At 48.9% G+C, this 20,235-nt stretch overlaps 1 protein-coding gene and 1 non-coding gene across 13 annotated transcripts in view, besides 5 other annotated features; both read left to right on the top strand.

Annotated features, from left to right (window-relative positions):
- NFATC2 (nuclear factor of activated T cells 2) overlaps nucleotides 1-20,235 on the top strand; it is a 175,877-nt gene that overhangs the window by 97,186 nt on the left and 58,456 nt on the right. For all 12 annotated transcript variants that reach the window (NM_001258295.2, NM_001258294.2, NM_001258292.2 and 9 more), the window contains exon 6: nucleotides 10,966-11,106. In NM_001258295.2, the coding sequence (NP_001245224.1) occupies nucleotides 10,966-11,106 (141 nt within the window). The remainder of the gene's footprint in view (nucleotides 1-10,965; nucleotides 11,107-20,235) is intronic.
- Nucleotides 2,092-3,052: an enhancer, noted in NCBI's record as "H3K27ac-H3K4me1 hESC enhancer chr20:50079139-50080099 (GRCh37/hg19 assembly coordinates)". NCBI's record gives its function as "activates a minimal SCP1, AML or CMV promoter by ChIP-STARR-seq in primed H9 embryonic stem cells {active_cell/tissue: H9 hESC(primed)}" and the evidence as "EXISTENCE:reporter gene assay evidence [ECO:0000049][PMID:30033119]".
- Nucleotides 8,815-9,420: an enhancer, noted in NCBI's record as "H3K4me1 hESC enhancer chr20:50072771-50073376 (GRCh37/hg19 assembly coordinates)". NCBI's record gives its function as "activates a minimal SCP1, AML or CMV promoter by ChIP-STARR-seq in primed H9 embryonic stem cells {active_cell/tissue: H9 hESC(primed)}" and the evidence as "EXISTENCE:reporter gene assay evidence [ECO:0000049][PMID:30033119]".
- MIR3194 (microRNA 3194) lies at nucleotides 12,677-12,749 on the top strand. The gene has a single exon (NR_036162.1). It is a non-coding gene; the product is annotated as a microRNA 3194 (primary transcript).
- Nucleotides 14,273-14,774: an enhancer, noted in NCBI's record as "H3K4me1 hESC enhancer chr20:50067417-50067918 (GRCh37/hg19 assembly coordinates)". NCBI's record gives its function as "activates a minimal SCP1, AML or CMV promoter by ChIP-STARR-seq in primed H9 embryonic stem cells {active_cell/tissue: H9 hESC(primed)}" and the evidence as "EXISTENCE:reporter gene assay evidence [ECO:0000049][PMID:30033119]".
- Nucleotides 17,981-19,180: an enhancer, noted in NCBI's record as "P300/CBP strongly-dependent group 1 enhancer chr20:50063011-50064210 (GRCh37/hg19 assembly coordinates)". NCBI's record gives its function as "activates an origin of replication core promoter dependent on BRD2, BRD4, P300/CBP, MED14 and CDK7 cofactors, with strong dependence on P300/CBP, by STARR-seq in HCT116 cells {active_cell/tissue: HCT116}" and the evidence as "EXISTENCE:reporter gene assay evidence [ECO:0000049][PMID:35650434]".
- Nucleotides 18,288-18,582: an enhancer, noted in NCBI's record as "tiled region #10834; HepG2 Activating DNase matched - State 8:EnhW, and K562 Activating non-DNase unmatched - State 10:DNaseD". NCBI's record gives its function as "activates a minimal TATA promoter and a strong SV40 promoter by Sharpr-MPRA in HepG2 and K562 cells {active_cell/tissue: HepG2 | K562}" and the evidence as "EXISTENCE:reporter gene assay evidence [ECO:0000049][PMID:27701403]".

The following is a 20,235-nucleotide window of genomic DNA, read 5'->3' as shown; positions in this document are numbered from 1 at the left end:
TGTGAGGATGGAGCTTGTTCACCAGGACCTGAGTGATTGGTCCACGGGGAAGTATAGCCAGTACAAAGGCCCTGAGGCAGGGATAAGCTCAGGGTCTCCAGGGAGGAGAAAGGTACCCAGGGAGACTGTGTGGAGTGTTATAGGTGGGGTGAGGGGTCGGAGGTGAGGTCTGAGCCCAAGCTGGGGGATTCGGATTTTATTCTAATTAGGATGGGAAGCCATGGGTTCCAAGTAGGAGGTTGACATGATGTGATTTCTATATATATAGTTTTTTGAGACGGATTCTCACTCTGTCACCCAGGCTGGAGTGCAGTGGTGCAATCTTGGCTCACTGCAGCCTCTGTCTCCCAGGTTCAAGTGATTCTCGTTCCTCAACCTCCTGAGTAGCTGGGACTACAGGAGGCCACCTGGCTAATTTTTTTATTTTTAGTAGAGACGGGGTTTCACCATGTTGGCCAGGCTGGTCTCAAACTCCTGACCTCAGATGATCCACCTGCCTTGGCCTCCCAAAGTGCTGGGATTACAGGCCTGAGCCACCACGCCCAGCTGTGATTTCTATTTTAATATTCATTTAGCACACAGCCTAGCACATAGTAGGTGCTAATCAATACTTGAAGGCAGAATGAAGGAAGAAAGAAGATGAGAGGGACAGGACAGGGAAGAGGTGTAGAGAAATGAAGTTATTAATCATCTGCTGTGTGTCAAGTACGTTCTGTATTGTGGCTGAATCAGTATGAGAAGAGGCTGGAAAAACTGTAGCATGGAGAAGTGAGCTTGCCTGTGGCCATCCAGCTAGTGAGGGGCAAGCCAGTGGTAACATTGCATCCCACTGAGCCTCGGGGCATCAAGCCTTAACTACATATTGAGTGATAGATTAATTTGGGCCAGAAACCCAAAGGGTGGCATCATCTCATTATAAATCAGAGACCAACTCAAGGGCCTCCAGGGGGCTGTGGGCACCTGCCCACCCCACTCCTCATCCCCCCACCCCCCGGCACTAGATTGTCTCCTTCAAGATCCTGTAGTGGTAAATCTTGGATGAAACTGGAGCATTGGGCAGAGAGCAGGTTGGCCAGGCCTTTGTCAGCCTCTGCTCTCGAAGGCAAGTGACCAAGAAGCCCTATTTCAGAAGTGCCAGAAAGCTGCATGATGGGGAGAAGCAGTTTAGAGTGGCGGTTAGGAATGTGGGCTTTGGAGCAGGTAGCTTGGGTTCAAATCCTGCCTCTGCCACTTACTGGCTGCTTAGTCCTGGGGAGATTACTTAAACACTCTGTGCCTCGCTTTCCCTATCTGTAAAATGGGGAGAATAATAGTACCTCCCTCAGGGTGGCGGTTAAATGCGTGTGTGTCTCACACAGTAAGTGCCAGACGTGATCCCACAGGGTAACTCAAGTGCCTCCTTTGTGGTGGCCTTTGTGGTGGCCCAGTGTGGACGGATCTCATTGTCTTGCCTGCAGCCCTCCCGTAGTTCTGTAAAGCAGGCTTTACGTACCTCTGGCTGCCACCCTGTCACTGCAGGAGTCTGAAACCCAGGCAGCAGTAGGCCGGTGTGAGAGGAGAGTCGAGCAGACAGCCTGCAACATACCCTGCTGCTGGGAAGGAACCCCAATAGTTATCTGGCCCAGTGGGGTGGGCCACCTGATGAGTGAGTGGAGGAAAGTTGTTTTTTTTTGGAGAGCCCAGGATTGGGGTGGCTTCTTTGCTGATTGAAATAGTTACCTACCCGGCCCTTTACTGGGCTACTTATGAGGGAGCTGGGAAGGCAGAGTGCCCTTCTGAACACCTACGATGTACCCACAGATGCACTGAGGTTAACTCATTTCCATCCTCATCATAACCTCAGAAGGCCCATCTTAAACGTTTGCTCAGTTCATTTGTTCGAAGCATTTGATAATATGCCAGTGATGGAGGCACAGAAAAGCACCCTTGCAGGGTGTGGGCGCCTGCAGGCTGAGGCTCCGAAGGATGAGTGACTTGCTGCAGTCCCACGGCTGGCAAGGCAGGGGCAGAGCTGGGGTTAAAGCCATCTTCTTTTCTCTGTCCCGGCTGCCTGGGTTCCTCAGTGATCCAGAGCTCATCAGGTTTTGGACTGAGAATATTCTGAAGAGGGTGCCTGTTAGTACATTGGAATGGTAGAGTAATGATCTGATGGGAGGAGAGACAGCAGCTCCTACTCTCCCTGATGTCCTGTGGAGTGGATGAGATAGGAAAGTCTCACAGGAGGGGCCGTGCTGCTGCATTTCTCCATATGAGAAAGCTGAAGCTGAGGCCCCCCGCCACCGAGGCCCACAGCTACAACTTTGTCACTCACTGTGTGTCTCATGCATTTGCACACATCATACCCCACTCCCTTGCTGTGGACCTCAGTGGTTCCCTCAAAGAGGTGAGCCCCACACTAGGGGAGATTTTGGTTCCCCTCCACTCTCCCACTTCCCAGGGAAGACCCAGGGAACAGCCAGAGTGGAGGCTGAGGGGCCTGTCTGCTGGCCCTGCTCACAGCCTCTCCCGGGAGATGCCTGAGTCGGCAGCACATTCTGGGCCAAGCCAGGCCCAGCCAGACCAGGCTCACAGCCAAGGATGGGGCCTGATACAGAGACAAGAAGGGCTGACAGCAGCTGGAGCGCCAAGGCCAGGGTTGCTCAGTGCTCGGGCCAGAACGATGACCAATGGGAGGAACCTTCTTGCCTGGGCTGGCCGGTGTCTTTCCCACGAAGTCCTCCGTTTCACTGCAGAGGGTCCCATGGGGTAGCGGAATCCCCCAGTGTAGGTCCAAATTCTGCTTGTCCATTTGCTGTGAGCTCCCAAGCTTATTCCTTCTCCTCTGGGAGGATCAATGTCTTCTACTCTAAAACGGGAGTGATTCCTGCTTTGTGGTCTCATGAAGTTTAGCAATAAAAATAAACACAACTAACATTCACTGAGTCCTGATGAGATGCCACGCAGGCCCATGGATTAGCTCATTTAATCTGCAGGCAGCCCAGTGAGGTTAGTGCTGTGATATTCCCATTTTATAGATGAAAAACAGAGGCAAAGAAATTAAGTGTCTTGCTCAAAGTCCCAAAATTAGAATGTTACTTTTACGTGTGAACCCTAAATTGCTTCTTGGTGTGGGCGTTTTATAATATTTTTAAAAATGTGTATATGTTGTGCCTGCAATCTGTAGTCTTTATAGCATTTGTAATTGTCTGCTATTTATTTTTAGTTTTTTGAGACAGAGTCTCGCTCTGTCATCCAGGCTGGAGTGCAGTGGCGCGATCTCGACTCACTGCAACTTCTGCCTACCGGGTTCAAGCAGTTCTCCTGCCTCAGCCTCCCAAGTAGCTGGGATTACAGGTGCGTGCCATCATGCCCAGCTATTTTTTTTTTTTTTTTTGTATTATTAGCAGAGATGGGGTTTCATCATGTTGGCCAGGCTGGTCTCAAACTCCTGACCTCAGGTGATCTGCCAGCCTCAGCCTCCCAAAGTGCTGGGATTACAGGCATAAGTCACCCTGCCCGGCCTGTTATTTCTTAAATTTAAATTTATTTTTATTGTTGAAACAGAGTCTTGCTGTGTCACCCAGGCTTGAGGGCAGTGGTGCAATCTCAACTCACTGCAACCGCCACCTCCCAGGTCAAGCAATTCTCTTGCCTCAGCCTCCCAAGTAGCTGGGATTCCAGGCACGTACCACCACGCCCAGCTAACTTTTTTTGTAGTTTTAGTGGAGATGGGGTTTCACCACCTTGGCCAGGCTGGTCTCGAAGTTCTGACCTCAAGTGATCTGCCCACCTTGGCCTCCCAAAGTGCTGGGATTACAGGGGTGAGCCACCACACCCAGCCTGTCCGCTGTTATTAACAGAAACTGCCCTCTCTGTAGGAGCGAATTTCTCTAACCAGTCTCTCCTGAGGTTCTTGGATAGATCGTAATTCTTGGCCACCCGGCTTGACGGCGAATTTCAGATAGTCAGGCAATAACTTCCCATTTCCAGGCCTACTTGGGCGATGTGGGGGAACCCTGTGCCGGTGTCAGTTTTCTTCGCTGAACCTTTGCGGTGGCTGCTGCTGTGCTGCAGGTGGGCACAGTTGCAAGACAAAGTCAACACCCAAACTGGTTAAACCAACAGCGTCCTGTTGATTCAGAGCTCATAAAATACAAGAGCCCCCCCAAGCCACTTTATGACGTGCCAGAATCCAGGGGCAGGAGGGAAGCCTGGGGAAGTCACTTTGCAGGGGCCACCTTGAAGCTTAAGCTGGAGCAGAGGTCAAGACTTCACCCGCAGGCCTGAGCCAGGCCCTCAAAGATGACTTTAAAAGCAAGGTGCCTGGTTTGGTTGGAAAACTGCAGGCTGTGCGGTTTGGATTGTCTGCAGTCTCAGAAATGAATGGGAGAAAGGGGGGCTGATGAGGAGGGTGGGTGCAAGCCTGGGAGGCCCACTGGGCTTCCTTAGAGCCTCCCACCCACCCTGGACCTGTCACCCCAATTAGCAGCCATAGGTGATGGAGGTTGCATCAGAGAGCAATAGAGAAGTAGAGCTCAGGAGGGTAATTTGGGCTGCTGTGCGCTGGCTTCAGTTCCTCTTTCAAAAGCTAATTGCTTTGCCTCTGGGTTCTCTGAGGACTGGGGCCTGCCCTGGAGGAGTTCCCCGTCCTCAGGTGGCCTCTTAAGTGTGGAACTTGGCTCTTAAGCAAACGTGCGTGACAAGTCACCCGGAAAGATTGTTAAAATGCAAATGTCTGGCCTCTGCCCGAGAGATTGGGGCACAGAGGGTGAGGGATGTGGCCTGGGTATCTGCATTTTTATCTAGCACCTTCTGACCCTGCGTTGCTGGGGGAAGATTCTGCTACAGGTGACCTGAGAGCCACACTTTGAGAAACACTGGCAACTGGGGTCAAGAAACCTGGGCCAGGCGTAGTGGCTCATGCCTATGATCCCAGCACTTTGGGAGGGCGAGGCGTGCGGATCGCCTGAGCTCAGGTGTTTGAGATCAGCCTAGGCAACATGGCAACATCCAGTCTCTATTAAAAAAAAAAAAAGAAGAAGAAACCTGGGTTATGGCTCAGGATTCACCGAGAACAGCAGTGACCACAGAGGTGACCTGTGTACACACATGCATATGTTTGGTACATATATGCTAAAATATATAAGACAACAATGTCTATGGCTGGCACATACAGCCTCTCAGAAGCTACAGCTTTTAGTGTTGCTAACCTTGCTGACCCATGTTTATTAAGCCAGACACGCTTTTGATGAACTTGTTTAATCCTCGTAATGACCTGTGAAGTGGGACTGTTAACAGCCCCATTTTACAGATGGGGAGACTGAGGCTCAGAGCTGTGAAAACCCCTACAAGGATCAACCAGGGGGGTGTCCAACACTATAGCCTTAACCAAGAGCACGTGCTGCCCTTCACTGAAGCTGAGCTCTGAGCATCTGTCCTCTCCTCTCTAGATGGGAGTGATAGTGTCTTCCTTGCTGTAGGGCTATGATTTAAGGGTTTAAACAAATAAAGTGTTGTGAAAATAACTTAGCAAGAAAAAGAGGGGCATTTTTGAAAGTCAACGATAGCAAAGACCATCATGTCTTGAGTTGTTACTGTGTGCTAAGCATGGGCTGTTTTGTCTTATATAGGATATTTTCTCCTATTGTGGTAAAATACACATAAAATTTACCATTTTAGCTATTTTCAAGTATGCAATTCAGTACATGAAGTACATTCACAATATTGTGCAACTACCACTACTCTGTAGTTGCAGAACTTTTTTTTGTTTTGTTTTGTTTCTTTGTTTGTTTTTTTGAGATGAAGTCTTGCTTTATTGCCCAGCCTGGAGTGTAGTAGCGTGATCTCGGCTCACTGCAACATCCGCCTCCTGGGTTCAAGCGATTCTCCCACCTCAGCCACCCAAGTAGCCGGGATTACAGGTACATGCTACCAGGCCCGGCCAATTTTTGTAGTTTTTAGTAGAGATGGGGTTTCACCATATTGGTCAGGCTGGTCTCGAACTTCTGACCTCAGGTGATCCACCTGCCTCGGCCTCCCAAAGTGCTGGGATTACAGGCCTGAGCCACTGCGCCCAGCCAAACTTTATCATTTTTGCTGAGGAAACTGAGGCACAGAGAGCTGCCACTCGAAGGCCACACAGCTAGTAAACTATGAAGACAGAACTTGGACCCGGACAGAGTGACATCAGGCTGAGAAAACCCCATCTGGCCTGCAGAACTTTTTTTTATCACCAGAAAAAGAAACGCCTCACGTATTAGCAGGCACTGCCCAATTTCCACCCCCCAGTGAGCCCCGATCTGCTCTCCGTCTCTCTGCGTTTGCCTGTTCTGGCCGATTGATATAAATGGGATCCTATGCCATTTGTCCTTTTGTGTCTGGCTCCTTTCACTTCACTTAATGGTTTCAAGGTCCACCCATGTCATGGCATGGAACCAGCACTTCATTCCTTTTCATGACTGAGTAATATTCTGCATGGATAGACCACGCTTTGTTTATCTGTGTATCCATGCATGACCATTTGGGTTGATATTTGATATTTTACCATCTATGTACTGACTGCGTCCATATAGTCATATGCAGGGTCTTGTACTGCTTGAAGCAGACCCGTGAGGGCAGGTACTGTTGTGACCTTACAGAGGAGGCATCTGTGACTTAGGTGAAGTGACTTGCCCAGGGTCACAGAGCAGGGATGGCAGATGCAGGACTCAAAACCATGGCTTTCTGACCCCGGAGCCCAAGCAGCAGTTAATGATGTATTCTCTTGCAGCTCCCAGGGCCCTGTATTACCCTGCAGTGATGGTACCACAGATAAAACCTGGCTGTGGCCTCTTGTAATCATTTGAAGATTTTTTTTTGTTTTTGAGAGGAGTCTCGCTCTGTCGCCAGGCTGGAGTGCAGGGGCGTGATCTCTGCTCACTGTAACCTCCGCCTCCCCGGTTCAAGCAATTCTCCTGCCTCAGCCTCCCGAGTAGCTGGGACTACAGACACATGCCACCACCACGCCCAGATAATTTCTTTTTTTTTTTTTTTGGAGTTTTAGTAGAGACGGGGTTTCACCATGTTGGCCAGGATGATCTTGATTTCCTGACCTTGTGATCCGCCTGCCTCAGCCTCCCAAAGTGCTAGGATTACAGGCGTGAGCCACCGCACCTGGCTTGAAGATTTTTTTTTTTTTAAGATAAAAACAATGCTGGGGTCCTGACCCTCAGACCATTTAAGTCAGAATCTCTAGAACAGCTGTTCTCAACCAGGGATGATTTTGCACCCCTCTTCCCCAGGGGATATCCAGCCTTGTCTGGAGACAATCTTGGTTGTCACAGCTGGGGGGTAGGGTGCTCCTGGCATCTGATAGGTAGAACCCAAGGATGCTGCTAAACATTGTACAATGCCCAGGACACCCCCAGGACACCCCCTGCCTGCTGACAACAAAGAATTACCCAGCTCCAAATGGCAATAGTGTCAAGGTTGAGAAACCTTGCTTTAGAATTGGGCCCTGGGCTAGACACAGTGGCTCGTGCCTATAATCCCAACACTTCGGGAGGCCGAGGCAGGCAGATCGCTTGAGCCCAGGAGTTCAAGACAAGCCTGAGTAACATGGCAAAACCCTGCCTCTACAAAAATAAGCAGGATGTGGTGGCACACACCTGTAATGCCAGCTACTCGGGAGGCTGAGGTGGGAGGATCACTTGAGCCCAGGAGGCAGAGGCTGCAGTGAGCCGTGATGCCACCACTGTACTCCTGCCTGGGTGACAGAGCAAGACCATGTCTCAAAAAAAAAAAAAAAAAGGACGAGGAGGGCCTGGGTGTCAGTATTTTTAACTTCCCATTCCCATTCTAATTGGCCAGGGCTGAACAGAGCTTCTCAAACTTGATAGTGCGCAAGAATCACATGGGCTCCTTGTAAAACTGCAGACCTGGGCTGGGCAGGTCTGGGGTGGGGCCTGAGGTGTACTGCATGTCTGACAAGCTCTCCAGTGATGCCAAGGCCCCTGGCCTGCACTTGGAGTTGTAGTAGTACTAGAATATAGCTAAAGGCGTGTTTTCTCTTTTTTCTGTCTCTTTAAATTTTCATTAAAAAAAAAAAAGTTTTCCTTCAGGTAGGGAGGTAGGAAATGCAGACTTGGCAAAGGTTGAATCTGTTGGTTGCTGAGACTATGAGGCTTTGAAGGGGGAAGCAACGAGGCTGCCGCAGGAAAGAGAGGAGCTGTGTTCACAGCAGCGTGCAGTGATTCACAGCCCAACTGTCCGCGCCAGCCTCCCGCCCAGCACTGAGAGCTTGCAGCCCCTTCCAGTCCCCAGGCCTCCTGGCTGCAAGCCTTGGGCTGGCTTGCCCAGTAGCGATGACTCAGGCTTTCCACCTGTAAAATGGGTGGGATGCTCTCGCCACTGCACCACCCATCCCCGGGGCCAAAAGCCCCCAGCTGCTCCCCAGTTTCATCAAAGGCAGATCTTCAAAGCCTGAACCTGCAGCTGCTGCTCTTGCTGCTAATAAATCTCATTTGTGGCAGCTCAATTAGGAAGTCATCACAAAACTTTGATATTGAAAGAAAGGATTAATAACCCAGCCCATGTGGGAGAGATTAGCAGCTTCTGCGGAGAGGTCTTTGTAATCTATCCTTGTAGCCGGCAGCCCCTGGGGCAGCGCTGGCAGGCGGGTCTCTGGGAACAGAGGGTGCCTGGGCTGAGCTGGGGTTGGGAAAAGCCATCAGGGGATTGGTTTGAGTCACTGCTGGGTGGCACTCTCAAGGTGGAGTGTCTGGAAGCCTCTGGCTGGTGCACGGCGACTCCTGAAATGTTGCCAAGTGCATCGTTGCTCCATTGAGTGGCCCCAGCAGATGCAGGGGGATGCCAGTGGCCTGGAGGCCCAGGCAAGGCAGGAGGGAAGGGTTAGAATTGGGCCGTGGGCCTCACGCGGTTGCTGCCCAGGCTCGCGGATGGGGAGGTCCGTAGGCTCCTGCCATGGAAGGGGCTGGCCCTCTGCCCAGTTCTCTGGGCTTGGGGAGGAATGCCAAGAGCTCAGACTGACTCACCCCAGGGGGCGGGCCTGGCCTCTTGGCCCACGCTGGAAGGAGAGAGGCCTGAGGAGGTGGGGCCCTGGCTGTGGCTGGGATCTGTTTCTTGCCTGCCCTGGGAAGGTGGCTGGAGCAGGTTTTCATTCTTTTCTGCAGCCTGGCTTCTGGAATAGGTGGCTGGCTAGTTAACCTAAGAGATTGGGCGCTGGAGCTGGAGAAACCTGCTTTTGAGGGTTCAAATGTAAGCTTCACCATGGATCCTTGGCCAAGCGGTGACTTTACTCCTCTTAGCTTTGGTTTTCTCCCCAGTCAAATGCGAATCATTTTAATACTTCCTTCCTCAGAGGGTTGCTATGAGCATTCAACTATAGCATTCTGGTTTAGTGCTCAGCACAGGCCTGTCCTGTTCCTCCATTTTTCATTTATTAAAGTATAGATGAGGACATAGATGTAAATAGATGTATTGAGAATACATACTGGGAGATACAGACATATTCATATCCATTCATCCACCCACCCATCCATCCACTCACCCACCCATCTGTCCACCCACCCACCCATCCACACACCCACCCTTCCACCCATCCATCCACCCACCCACCCATCCATCCACCCATCCACCCATCCATTCATCCATCTACCCACCCACCCATCCACTCATCCATCCATCTACCCACCCACACATCCACCCACCCACCCACCCATCCACTCATCCATCCATCTACCCACCCACCCATCCACCCACCCACCCACCCACCCACCCACCCATCCACTCATCCATCCATCCACCCATCTATCTACCCACCCACCCATCCACCCACCCACCCATCAATTCATCCATCCACCCACCCACCCACCCACCCATCCACTCATCCATCCATCCATCCATCCACCCATCTATCCATCCATCCACCCACCCACCCACCCACCCATCCACCCACCCACCCACCAACTAGTACGTTCTCCTCCTAGGTTCTTGGCACTATTCCTGGTCTAGGCTTACAGCAGTACACAAAGCGAAGCCCCTCCTTCCTGGGCTTATATGCTAGTAGGTTAAAGATGAAAGAAGATAAACCAATACAAGCTACATATAATGTATCTGAAAGTGAAAAGCTCTATGGAGAAAAGCAAAGTAGGACAGAGAAAGCAAAGGTGACAGAGAATGAGAGAGAGGGACCGGGCTGGGTACTGCTGTTTTAACTCTTGGGAGGGGATGGGGTGGGTTAAAGAAGCCTCCCAGAGGAGGTGACAGCTGAGTAGAGACCTGCAAGAAGTGGAGAAGGGAGACATGCAGGTAACTGGGGAGGACAGACACTAGGAAGTGCAGATGCTCAAAGGTAGGAGTATGCTGAGTATATCTGAGAGACAGAATGTTCTAGAAGTGTGGCTGGAACAGAGTGAATGAGGGAGAGTTCTAGAAAAGGACCCCATGGGTAGATCATGGATGTCTTAACGACTATGTTAAAGATCATAAATGAATTCCAAAGTCAATATGTCTAAACCCTTCAGGTACTATATCCTAAGCTTAGCATACATGATGCCTTCATGTTTTGGCTGACATCAAATGTACAAAGAAAGGATATGCTTTAACAAAGGAAACCTCTTATAAAGAAGTTTATTTGCCCATCCCTTTATAAAAGGATAAAGAAAACCAATTCTCATGTACCTGTTCTCCTTATAAGGACAACAGGCAGCCTCTGGCTTCCTGTAAGGAGAACAGGCCTCTGTCCCTTGATTCATGAAAACGAAATGTGTTGTTAGAGGGAAATTAGCTCAAATGACTTAGAGCACTTTCACAAGGCATAACATTTGTACGTCATTGATTGTCAGGGGTGATGGTTCCACATTTTAGATAACAACAGGTGACACAGGTGGGCAGAGCATGTCATATCTCAGTACCATGAAATCAGACCTCCTCTTTTGAACAGACATCTCCCCTTATCACAGTGACTTCTCTCTCTTTTGCCTGCAGCCCAGCGATCTGCTCACGAGCTGCCCATGGTTGAAAGACAAGACACAGACAGCTGCCTGGTCTATGGCGGCCAGCAAATGATCCTCACGGGGCAGAACTTTACATCCGAGTCCAAAGTTGTGTTTACTGAGAAGACCACAGGTCAGTGGATTTTTGAGCTCTTTCTCTGTCCCCCAGAATCATGCAAAAGTGACCATCTCTTTATTATATACAACTTTGGTTTTGGGGGGTAGATCCCACCGTGCAGTTTTATACCCTGCTCTTTTTACTCAGCGTGTCTTCAGGGATTGTGATGGCCATACCATTCGCCATTGCATGAATGTGCCATTCTACATTTTAACTCTTCTAGGTCATTTTGACAGAAAATGAGATTATCTCCCACCCTCAATCCTTTTTTTAAAATTACTTTTTTACATAAGGAAGGAAATTTTTAAAACTTTTTGCTATTATCAAGAAGGGAGGCCAAACAGCACAGTGATAAAGCATGCATACTCTGGCCCTGGATATCTTGGGTTCAAATTCTGGGTTTGTTATCTGCTTGCTTGGTGATCCGAGGCATATTACCTATCCGTTAAAATTTCTTACCCCATAAAGTTGTCATGGAGGTTAAATGAGCTAATACATGTCACGTAATTATAATAGTGCCAAGTACAGCATAAGCCAATTAATATTGGCTACTTGTATTTTTATTATAAGTAGTTCTGCAGTGAATCAGCTTATACTTCTAGGATTAATTAATCTTGTACATGAATCTATATGTATATCTTTTTAGTTTATTTAGGGTTTATTCCCAGCAGTGGAATTTTGGATAGTCATTCTGAGGACTTTAAATACATATTGCTAAATTACCTTCCAGAAATCTACAAATTGAAGTTGCCATCATGTCAGTCATAGTTTCACCCCCATCCCAGAAATGCCATTTTTTTAAATTAAAAAGGAATCATTGTGGAATTGGTACTTCTTTCTACTTTGCATTTCCTTGCTCTGAGACGCATAATGTTTTGTTTATTCACCACGTGTATTCTTCCTTTGGTGTACTATCGGTGTCTTTTTCAGTGGGTATGTGGTAGAAAAGATGCTGATCTGAAGTAGGAAAATATCAGATTAAGCAATAATTAATGAAACAAATGTGTTGTTAGAAGGAAATTAGCTCAAATAACTTGGGACACTTATTTTGGATACTAGAACCAATTTTCCTTTTCCTTAACAGACATGATTTCAGTAGGTTACTTCAAAGGGGTGTTGATGTTTGTCTATTTGTTTATTGTCCTTAGAACAATCCGAGAATATAACAGGTGAGTTGTCCAGTTGGAGGGATTGTGCACTGTACAAGGGCACCTCCTCTGAGGGCTGCCATTCAAATTGGATACATCACCAGTTTACACGTTAGTAAGACAACTTCTGGCAGGGGGAAGCAGACTGTCTTAGGCAAAGAGTGCTTCTTCCAGTCTCGCACAAATCATCCTTCTGGGATGGGCTGGACATGTGACCGGGGTGTGACAACTGCATTCTCACAGTTGGAAGCATAACAAGAGGCAGAATTTATTTTAAAAGGGTTTGATGACGCCTTTGCGAAAAATAACAAAAAAGGTATTAAGTAAGGCTGTGGCAGTGGGGAAGGGAGATGCAGGGATGGGTCGGGAGTGGTTTAGAAGGCAGATGTCACTGAGGTTTGATGGGACGTAGTGGTGTAGAGAGGCATTAAGAACGCAGGTGGCAGGGCCAGCCACCAGGAGGGCTGCGTGCCACCCGGGCAGCTCTGCTGCTCACTGGCAGTGTCACCTGCGGAAACTCTCCATCATCTATCCCCTGAAAAGCAGGGACAGTGACAGTGCCTACCCACAAAGGTAAGGTCTGAATGAATTAGAGCAAGTGGGCTTAGCACCGGAAGTGCTCGGTAAGGGGCAGGGGCTGCTGCTGTTTTTCTGGAGCTGCTGTGGATGGGGAAGGGGAAGAGGTTGAGTGTCGAGATTGTTTTGTTCACGTGGTGCACTTGGCCAGCTGAGATTTAGCACACAGGAGAGGAGGTCTGTGTGGGGATGAGGTTGGGCAGGGAGGACGGGTTTCATTTTGGAAGTGGAAGCGTTGAGTCTCATGTACCCATGGGCCTTCTTGGATGAACCATGATCTCACCTCTGTGGAAAGGCAAGAGATTGGTGGGTATGTGGCCACGTGGTCTAGACTAAGAAACCAGATCCTGGCTGCAGATGTTGTCATGGGAGCTGTCAGCAATGAGATCTGAGGTGAAGTCCTGGGAATTGGCTCCGACCTCCCAGGATGGCCTCCAGTGGGAGAAGGGGAGGCTTAGAGAACTGAGAGCCACATCCCTTAAAGGTGGCAGAGGAGGAGCTGTCACAGCAGGAGGAGGAGAACCAGGGGAGTCTGGTGCCCTGGAGACCAGGGGAAGGAGACTTGGGAAGGGTCAGCAGAGGCAGTGCTATGAAGGTCACAGAGCCCGAGGTCAGCCTGAGAGTCCAGTGATTGGGGGGCCTCTGGTGATTTGAATCACACGTACCCAGGTGGCAGTGAGTTGAGGAGTGAGCTGAGGAGTAGCGTTGCTTGAGGGATCAGAGATGATGAAGGTAAAGTCTGCTCTAGGCAAGAAGACTCTGCACCAGCAGTCCCCAACCTTTTTGGCACCAGGGACCAGTTGCATGGAAGACAGTTCTTTTCAAGGGTTGGGGAGATGGGCTGATGGTTTCAGGATGATTCAAGCACATTACATTTATTGTGTACCTTATTTTTATGATTATTACATTGTAATATACAATAAAATAATTATACAACTCACCATCATGTAGAATCACTGGGAGCCCTGAGCTTGTTTTCCTGCAACTAGGTAGTCCCATCTGGGGGTTGACGGGAGACAGTAACGGATGATCAGGCATTAGACTCTCCTAAGGCGTGCACAACCTAGATCCCTGGCAAGCGCAGTTTACAGTAGGGTTCATGCTCCTGTGAGAATGTAATGGCAGGCTCATCTGACAGGAGGCAGCGCTCAGGCGGTAATGCAAGTGATGGGGAGTGGCTGTCAACACAGATGAAGCTTTGCTCTCTCGCCCGCCACCCACTTACTGCTGTGCGCCTAGTACCGGTCTGTGGTCCGGGATTGAAGACCCCTGGTCTATACCACATTTTTAGCCTCAGCATTATTGACAGTTTGGCCCAGATAATGACTTGGCAGGGGCGCTGTCCTGGGCACTGCAGGATGTTCAGCAGCATCCCTGACCTCCACCCACGTGACACCAGTAGTGCGGCCCAAGTTGTGACAACCAAAAATGTCTCCAGACCTTGCCAAATTTGCCCTGGGGGGCAATATTGCCACTGGTCAACAACTGCTGGTCTACAGCTTAGAAATTTTCAGGAAAGACAAGGAAAGGAAAAGAGCATGAGGAAAAATCAGAATCAGGGTCACCTTAAGCCTTCCCCTCTGCGTCTCAGCAGTTCAGGCCCAGCATCTGCTTGGTGGAATGCCTGCACAGCTCCCCCGAGCTGTCCTGCAAAGTGGGGTGCAGGGAGAAGGCCTGGCCTCTGCCTGCTTTGCCTTGAGGGGCTGATCCAGCCACACAGGGCTCTGTTGACTGAGTGGTTTCTATTTACACTGAAATCTTTTTGTTGCTGATGGAACTGTGCAGGAAAGAGTTTGAGGCTGGATCCTACCAAGTTCCTTACGGAGTTAGGAGTCAGCCAGCTTTTAAGCACTCTGGGAGTTTAATTATTCTGAAGCTATCCAAGGGCATCAATTAAGCATTTGTGGAATGAGTGAATGGCATTTATTCTCTAGCTTCTATTCTCTTGGTTTCAGAAGAAATTTCATATTTACCTCTTGAAGGCAGGAAAACACAGAGCCTGTTTCAGCTGTGAAAAGTTGGCTGTTAAGAACAAGAGTAATAATCACAGCTCCTATTATTGGCCACTGTCTGCAGGCAGCCCTGTGCCTGCCACTTTCCGTGTGTGGTCTCATCTAAGCTGGCACCCATGGGAGGCAGACAGTTTAGCTTGGAGAATCCAGGGGACTCGTCCACAGGTGATATTCAGCATTGACCTGTCATTCAACCTCTTTGGGCCTCAGCTTCCCTGTCTGTAAAATGAGATAGTGACAGTCTTTCTTTCCTGGAGTTAAATATGTAAATAAGCAGCATGCACTTAGTGCTCATGGGATGTTCATCGTTATTTTTTGAAGTGGGGTCTCACTATGTTGCCCAGGCTGGCCTTGAACTCTTGGGCAACATAGTGAGTTCAACATAGTGAACTCCAGTGACCTTCCTGCCTCAGCCTCCTATTTGGGATTACAGGCGTGTGCTTTTGTTATTATTTTTATGGTCTTGTGATATTCATTACTCAGGACATAGTCATCATTCAGTTGATACATGCTGCCCCAGGTGCTGGCCTAGGCTGGGAGAGATCTGGGGGGCTGTAACCCACAGCGGTCACCAGCACAGCTCTGAGGTCGGATGGCCTGGGTTCAAATCCCTGATCTGCATTTAGTAGCTGTGTCGTTCTGAGTAAGTTACTTCACCTATCTGGGCTGACATTTCCTCTTTTGTAAGATACAGATGATGATTTACTTCTCTTGGGAGGCAAGATTAAATGAGATTATACACGTTGGGTGCTTTGCATAGGGCTCAGAACATTGAACATGCTCATTAGATGTTAGCTCTTTTATTATCATCATTATATTTTGGCTGTAGAAAAACAAAGACAAGTAAGACTTTATCTCATGGAACCAAGAGACATTAAAAAACAGTAGTAAGTACTAATAATGAACGTTATTAGTAATTGAGTAATTAGTAGTTCATTAATAATGAACTATGTGCCAGGCCTTATTCTAAGCACTTTGTATGTGCTAACTAATCTGATCCCTCATAAGAGCCCAAAAGATAGACTACTGTTTTCTCAATTTTACTGGTGAGAAACTGAGCACAGAGAAGTTAAGTAACTTAGTGAAGATCACACAGCTGATAAAGGGCAGTGGTGGGATGACCTCAGGCAGCCTGGCTCTAGACCCCACACCTTGGACTCTGCTGTTCTATGCTTAAAAAGCTTAGAACCAGGTTAATTTTGCGTGAAGACCCTTCAGCTGCTCTGAGCCACAGGCTTACCCATTTTGTGGCGATAGAGATCCTTGAATTAACCACTGCACCGCTCTGAGCAGCAGTTTGAATTCTCTAGTGTGTTTCCGGCATCAAGAGGATACATTTCTGACCCTTCCATGCCTAACTGAAGAATCCCAGGTGAATGTAGTTCCTGGATTAACGACAAGAGACAATCGGGGGTGTTAGGGACACGGTGGGCTTCTCTGCGGGGGATGTCTGGCTCTGAGGGCTCTCTGCAGAGAGGGGGCTCGCCTTGCATTTGCTGGTCCTGCTCTTTTGACCTCAAGAGCTCACCTCCCAGCCCGGGACGCCTTCTGCAGGGGGAATCCCTGTTGCTCAACTTCTTTTTTCCAAAACTCATCCCCGTTCCCATCTCCATGGACATTTGGCCAGCAAGGGCTCTGCGGGGCGGGGCGGAACAGTTGAAGTTTTCCAAGGAAGGGGAATCCCAGCTGTTTCTCACATTAAGGAAAGGTGACAGCCTCCTGGGCTAATCTTAGCCCCGAGTTTGGTCATCGGCACCACCAGCTCCAATGTTCTTTTTATAGCTGTCGACTAAAATGGAATTGGCAGTTTCCACTCCAGCAAGATGACAAATTGGAGAGCAGTGGAAAAACAGTAGGAGAGGGGCAGCGTGGTGTTTCTTAAGTTAGAAAAGCTTGGTGTTTTGGAAAATGGCATCTTATTTATAGCAGCAATAATAATAATGATTATTATATTATTTGTATTACTATTTTTGATTATTTTTGTGACTTTCAAGAGCCTGTGTGATCTGGCTCTGACCTCAGCTTTTTTGACTCTCTCCCTGCCACTTGGCCATAGCAACACCTGGCTTCCCTCTGTCCTCAAACACCCCAAGCCCATTTCTGTCTCAGGACCTTGGCTTTCTCCGTTTGCTCTTAGAATGTTCCTCCACCATTTCTTTTCTTTTCTTTTTTTTTGAGACGGAGTTTTGCTCTGTCGCCCAGGCTGGAGTGGCGTGGCGCGAGTGCGCGATCTCGGCTCACTGCAAGCTCCGCCTCCCAGGTTCACGCCATTCTCCTGCCCCAGCCTCCTGAGTAGCTGGGACTATAGGCACCTGCCACGACGCCTGGCTAATTTTTTGTAGTTTGTTTAGTAGAGACGGGGTTTCACCATGTTAGCCAGGATGGTCTCAATCTCCTGACCTCGTAATCTGCCTGCCTTGGCCTCCCAAAGTGTTGGGATTACAGGCGCGAGCCACTGCGTCCGGCCTCCTCCACCATTTCTTTTCAAGCCTGCGGCCTCCTATTCCTCCCAGTCTCAGCTCAAAGGTCACTTCCTCCACGGGGTCCTCCTTGACCGTCATTCTGAAGTTGTCCCGCTTCCCAGACACCTTGTCACCTTCTGTGCCACTGCCCGGCTCTGTTTTCTTGGGGGCACTTAGCGCTGTTGAAATCACCTACCTTGTCTGTCTGTTCATTTATCACCTGGTCTCTCATGCTGGACTCTTAGTTCCTTGACAGCAGAGTCTCAGCGTTTGCTGCTGTATCCTCAGCATCCAGAGTGGTCCCCGGCACATAGCAGGTGCTCATTTGTGTTGTTGAATGAATGCATCTCTTTTAGTTGTCACTCCAGCCCTGAGAAGCGGGCAGCATTATCCCCATTTTACAGATGAGGTAACTGAGGCTCACAGATGTCAAGTCATGCACCCCAGGTCAGCCCACAACTGGTGACAGAGGTGGAATCCCAAGGCAGCATTTGTCGTCAACTCGAGTAATTTTTTCTAGTCATGTCAGAGAGGACAGAGAAACCAAACAGAACAATCAGGGTCTTTCCTATTTATCATTCTCAGTAATTGCTGAAAAGCCATTTGGATGTTCTCTGAAATTTAAAAAATGTGTAACCCTTCAGGCAAAGTTCACGCTGGGAAGTCCAGGCTGTTCCTGACTTCAGTGGGAACCCTGGCCCTTGGCCACAGGGCCTCAGGCGGAGTCGGGGGTCCCAGCAAAACATTGCAAAACAGGAAAAAATCTAAGGACACAAAAATAAAAGTGATGTGGCAGCGGGAAAGGGGTTGCCATGGCTTTGAGCGACTCGCTGCGCCTGGGTGGGATCCAATGTTTTGGAAGGTTCCTTCACATGACACAGAGTTTTGGAATTTTTCGGCTGGTAAATCCTTCTTAATTCAGGCCCCCAGGCTTGGCCAACTAGCTCCCTGGCTCTGTGTGTCCTGCGGGGGCGTAGGTTGGAAACTGGCCTGCATCAGATTACTCAGCTTTGAAACTTAAATTGTTTGAAGAGAATTTTTTGTTTTGTTTTGCTGGACGATTTTCTTGGAACGGTCTGATGGCAGAGGCTCCCATCACCTGTCCAGAGGACAAATTGATTTTTTAGAAAGGACGCGTGGGTGGTGGAATTCCCTCTTTCCCACTGAGTCATCATATCCTGACATGAGTCATTTTATTACTTGGAGGTCCCCAAAGGTTGTATTTTGAGCTTTGTTTAATAAATATAAATGCATATGCTTAAAATAATTTTTTTTTTTCTAAATTAAGTATTTTTCCGTGAATTTGTGCCCTGGAACAATCGGAACCATCTTAGAGCAGACACCTGCTCTTCCCACCTGTTTCTCTCCCTGGGTTTGGTTGTACCCGGCGTGATGTTCTCTGAAACAATAGACCTGGTATGGGAGTCTCTAGATGGGGCTTCCCTCTGGGAAATGTCAGACTCCAGACAGGGCTGGGGCATGACTAAGGCTCTCCGGACCTTTGCCCTCTGTGACTCATGTCCCTGGTGTCAGTGGCCCCCCGGGCTGGAGCCCATCACTTACCCACAGCTTTGCTGGGACACGAAGCTGCTCTCCAAAGATGCGATCCAGATTGCAACTCCGAAGCTGCCGTGGAGATAGAGAAAATGGTCTCGTTTTCAGGGATCTAAATATTTGCCTAAACTTGGTCCCCTGCATTGAAGAACAGGCTTTTAAGTCCAAGAATCCTGCAGTTCATTCCGTTTGCATCCATTTGAAGGAGGCCACAGAGAAATGAGTTTTTAGTTAGAACACTCATTGTGTCTAAGCACTTCCACCATCAGAAATTGTTCCTGGTACCAAAGGCCTTTGTGTAATTCCCACTTCAAAGGCTGGATTTTGAATCACCCAGCAGACTCGGCCTGAAGCCTGGATTGGCCTCACACTATGTACCTTGGGACTCAGTTTTCCCATCTCTGAGATGGGGTTGGTGGTGTATTAGCAATAGAAGGAGATCAAGGAACTGAAAGTATCAGGCACATAGTAGGTGCTCAGAAAACATCAGCTGCCCTTCTACCTGCACTCTGGGAGCCTGGTTGACTTCACACAGGGTTCAGAGGGCAGAGCCATGTTGGTTTCTTGTCTGGGAGAAGAGTCCTTCTTGGCGAGGTGAATTCCTCTCCTGTCCTTACCCTAGACCCATCAGACTCCTGGAGTCATAGCCTGGCAGCTGGAGGGAGGGTAACTCATGGTCTGCTTCCTCCCCTTCCCATTTTACGGATGGGGAAGTCGAGTCACACAGTGTGGTCACTAGACTTCTTTGAGGTGACAGAGTTCATCAGTGGAGGGCTGGGCCTGAAACCCCAACTTCCTGGTTCCCAGAGTAGCTGGCTGTCTGAAATGTGTGGGGATCATCCACAGATGACAGCTTAGGGCCGAGAAGAGTCACGTCTAGGGTGGGACAGGGGAGGAGCTGAAATCCGACCTCTGTGTAAGATTGACCTTGACTGAGCATCCAAGCGTGCCCTCTCAGGCTTGCTCCACTCACTCAGCCCCCGGTGCTTCCATGTTCATTTCCCGGGTGTTTATTGAGCACCTACTATGTGCAGTGCCATGCCAGGCACAGGGGACACATGGCAGGTGAGGTCCCTGCCCTTGGGAGTGGACAGTCTGAAACTTGTTTATAAGCAGGACACTTTCAGATGGGGAAAATGCTATGAAGCCAGGGAAGCCAGGTCACAGGCCCAAGAGAGAAAAGCGTGTGGAGTTAGGGGGGAAAATATAGGATGCGCAGTCAAATTTGAATCCCAAACAGTGAATTTCTTTAGTAAAAGTATGTTCTATACAATGGCAAGGAGTTTGGGACATACTTGCAGTAAAAAGGTATTCGTTGTTTTCTGCAGTCCAAGTTTAACTGAACATCCTGTATTTTTATTGGTTAAATCTGGTAACTCTGGATAGAGGAGT

Source organism: Homo sapiens, chromosome 20 (assembly GCF_000001405.40).
Source record: "Homo sapiens chromosome 20, GRCh38.p14 Primary Assembly".
Lineage (NCBI taxonomy): Eukaryota > Metazoa > Chordata > Mammalia > Primates > Hominidae > Homo > Homo sapiens.
Note: the sequence above shows the minus strand (reverse complement) of the source record. Positions and strands in the feature narration are given on the sequence as shown.